This window comes from Homo sapiens, chromosome 16 (genome assembly GCF_000001405.40).
Source record: "Homo sapiens chromosome 16, GRCh38.p14 Primary Assembly".
In the NCBI taxonomy this organism is placed as follows: Eukaryota; Metazoa; Chordata; class Mammalia; order Primates; family Hominidae; genus Homo; species Homo sapiens.
The window spans coordinates 82,258,122-82,262,111 of NC_000016.10; the positions used below are offsets into that span (position 1 = coordinate 82,258,122).

At 44.4% G+C, this 3,990-nt stretch overlaps 1 annotated feature.

The window, feature by feature from the left end:
• Positions 1,979 to 2,478: an enhancer, noted in NCBI's record as "H3K27ac hESC enhancer chr16:82293705-82294204 (GRCh37/hg19 assembly coordinates)". NCBI's record gives its function as "activates a minimal SCP1, AML or CMV promoter by ChIP-STARR-seq in primed H9 embryonic stem cells {active_cell/tissue: H9 hESC(primed)}" and the evidence as "EXISTENCE:reporter gene assay evidence [ECO:0000049][PMID:30033119]".

Here is a 3,990-nt window from a genome sequence, read left to right on the forward strand (position 1 = left end):
TTTCAACCACTCGGTCTATGGTGTTTCTGTGATAGCAGTCTGAGCTGACTGAGAAACTCCATTGCCTCTCAACGTCTCTACCCTCATTTCCCCTAACCCCTGGCAACTGTTAGTCAGTCTCTTTGAATTTGCCTAGACTGGACATTTCATCCAAATGGAATCACACAGTACGTGGGCATTGCGACTGGCTTCCTTCACCCACATGGTGTTTTTGATTGTCGTCTGTGCTGTTCCTGTGTGTCAGTGCTCCATTCCTTTTTGTGGCTAGAGAGTAGTCCATTGTATGGATGGACCGCATTTTGTTTATCCATTCATCAGTGGATGGACATTTGCATTGCAGATGGACCTTTTGGCTGTAACAAATATTGCTGCTATGAATATTTTAATACCTGCTTCTAATTTCTTTGGTTATATACCTAGGAGTGGAATTGCTGGATCCTGTGGTAACTTTCTGTTCAACATTTTGAGGAACTGCAGGATGGTTTGCCACAGCAGCTATCCTATTTTGCATTTCCAGCAGCAGTGCCGCATTGCTTGACTTATCATTACCTCTACTTGCCAGCTCACTTGTAAATAGGTAATAGACCTTCTGGCTTATTATTGATATATATTTATTTTAAAAACAAAGGAAAGGGAAACTTTTGAAAAAAATTTTTAGTGGCACGTGTGGAAGTAATTGTGCTTTATCAAAAACCAAGACCAAAACCAAAACAGATTTGGTGGCGAGGCAGCAAATGTTAGCAGTTATTATTATTAGACTAACCTAGATTATAAACCCCTTTGCAGCCAAGGACTAAACCTTATTTACCTAGGTTTTATTCAGGGAGCTTGTCAAGAGGCTTGGGGTGAATACACATTTATCATTCTTCCATTTGTTCACTTAACACTTTATGCAGGGTTATGGTGTATGCCTGTTTTTAGTAATGTGCAATTAAAAAAGAGAAAGACAAGTTTAATGCCACAGCAAGTCTACCATTCTACTCAGTGAAGTTGGACTCACAGGCAATAGATGCACTTAAGCCTGAAACAGTGAATGGAGGCTTAAAACCAATGGAAATTACTTATGAATAATTTTAAGGGCTTGTCACCCTTTGACAAAAGAGGGAGATACATGATTCATCTGGCCGGCTAAGTGGGTGGTGATGGCATTGTTGGCAAAGAAATGCAGGAATTAACTGAGGATCAAGAGAAGCTTTGAGCAAGGGGGCAAGAGGGGGGAACTTATAGGCTTGTCCTCAGAAGACATTTGTGGTCGATTTGGGGATTTTAAAGATCAAGTTAGACTCTTGGTCATTTTTGCTCTTTACCTGCTGACAGCCTTGCGAACCATTCAAGGAAGTGCTGGAACATGGCAGAAAGCACAGAAGATAAAATCTTTGCCTTCTGGGCACAGGGTCTGGTGTGGAAGGCAACAAAATCAAATAGCAATCACAAAACCATACAAAAAAGACAGAGATAGGAGTGTGTGCAGAGTTGGGGTAGCACAGAACAGGGAGCTTCTGAAGGTAAGGTCGAGTGTATTAGTCTCCCAGAACTGTAGTAACAAATTCCCACACACTTGCTGGCTTAAAACAACAGAAATTTATTCTCTCACAGTTCTGGAGGCCAGAAGTCTGAAGTCAAGGTGTCAGTAGGGCCATGCTTCCTCCAAAGGCTCTGGGGGAAGACCCTTCCTTTTCTCTTCCAGCTTCTGGTGGTTCCTGGCATCATTCCTTGACTTGTGGCTGCATCACTTTAGTCTCATGGCTCCTTTCCTCCTTCTCCCTGTGCCGCTCCTCTGTGTGTCTCTTACAAGGGCACTTGCCATTGAATTTAGGGCCCACTCAGATTAGGATGATCATATCTCAAGATCTTTAACTTAACTACATTTGCAAGCCTGCCTGCCTGCCTGCCTGCCTGCCTGCCTTCCTTCCTTCCTCCCTGACTGCCTTCCTTCCTTCCTTCTTTCCTTCCTTCCTTCCTTCCTACCTTCCTACCTTCCTTCCTTCTTTCCTTCCTTCCTTCTTTCCTTCCTTCCTTCTTTCCTTCCTTCCTTCCTGCCTGCCTGCCTGCCTGCCTTCTTTCCTTCCTTCCCTCCTTCCTTCCTTCCTTCCTTCCTTCCTTCCTTCCTTCCTTCCTTCCTTCCTTCCTTCCTTCCTTCGTTCCTTGACAGGGTCTCACACTGTCACCCAGGCTGGAGTGCAGTGGCGTGATCTCAGCTCACTGCAACATCTGCCACCGAGGCTCAAGCAATCCTCTTACCTCAGCCTCCGGAGTAGCTGAGACCACAGACATGTGCCACCATGCCTGGCTAACTTTTCTGTATTTTTGTGGAGCTGGGGTTTCACCATTGATGTGGTTTGGTTGTGTTCCCACCCAAATCTCATCTTGAATTGTACCTCCCATAATTACAACATGTTGTGGGAGGGACTGGTGGGAGATAATTTAATCATGACGGTGGTTTCCTCCATACTGTTCTCTTGGTAGTGAATAAGCCTCATGAGAAGCCGTGGTTTTACATGGGGAAACCCCTTTTGCTTGGCTCTCACTTCTCTCTTGTCTGCCACCATGTGAGATGTGCCTTTTGCCTTCTGCCATGATTGTAAGTCCTCTCCAGCCACATGGAACTGTAAATCCATTAAACCTCTTTTTCTTTATAAATGACCTAGTCTCAGGTATGTCTTTATCAGCAGCATGAAAATGGACTAATACAACCATGTTTCCCAGGCTGGTCTTGAACTCCTGGGCTCAAGTGATCCACCCACCTCGGCCTCCCAAAGTGGGTGGATTATAGGTATGATCTATCACACCAGGCCCTACAGGCCCTTTTTATTTTCACATTAACAGGTTCTGGGGTTTAGGATGTAGACGTATCTTTTTAGAGACCACCATTTAACCCCATTACATTAGGGAAGTCTCCTTGGATGCAATAAACAGTTTGTCTAAATCCTGAAGCAATTAGCTAGGTGAAAGGGTAGAGGAAATTATTCCAAAAGGAGGGAGGAGCATGTGCAAAGGTCCTGTTGAAAGAGACTCTGCAGCCATTCATGCATACCATGAGACTTCTGGAGTACAGGGGGAGTGTGTGTAGCATATCGTGGAGTGAGGAAAGGGAGATGTTTTGGGCTAGGGAGGTATGCAAGGCCCATATTCCAGACAGCCTGGGATGACATGATAAAGAGATTGGAGAAACTACTAAAGAATTTTAAACAGGGAGGCAATATGAGCCAATTGGCATTTAGAAAGATCACTTTGGACAATTTGTGGAGGATGGGGTGCAGCAAGTCCAGTGGTGGCGAAGCTAGTTAGCAAAACTTTTGCTCAGTAAATGTGCATTGGCTTGAATCCTCCCTCTCCTTATTTCACAGATTCTATTTTCTTACATTAGCGTGTGATTTTTGCTGGGCTGTTGGATGCTATTTAACATGCTAAGCCAATCTACTTACTTGTAATGCTCATCACTAATAGGAAACAAGATGCTGGCCTCACAAGGTAAACTGGCCTCACTCAGTTGACAAAGTCCCTTGCACTGATGATCAAAGATTGTAAATGGATTAAACAGGTTGACGGTGTCAGTTCCAATTTTTTGAGCTACCAAATCATCTTGTCAACAATTAGCATCTACAAAATATGAAGACGGATACATCACTGTTTCAGAAAAGACTGAGGAATTCTGGGTGTTGCTCTGGATATGACACAGATTTCTCCCTTACCACTGCTTTGTAGTGGCTGCTGAAATTAAGGCTTGAATGCTTTAAGAATACCTATTGAACCTCCTCTAGGTGTCAAGGATATCCAGGATTTAGCAGAGAACCAAACAGCCTGTGCCTTCGAAGAGCTCACAGTCTAGAAAGGGGTGGTGGTACTTCTGTGCTAGAGAAGAGAGGGGGGTTCTGTATATTTCCTAAATGCCCCACCAGAGGGGCTAAAGGGGGAAGGTTGCAGAGTCCTCTGTTTTGGCTTCATGCTGCAGTGCCTGACTCTGCCTTGAAGGTGTCTTGTTCAGTGGTG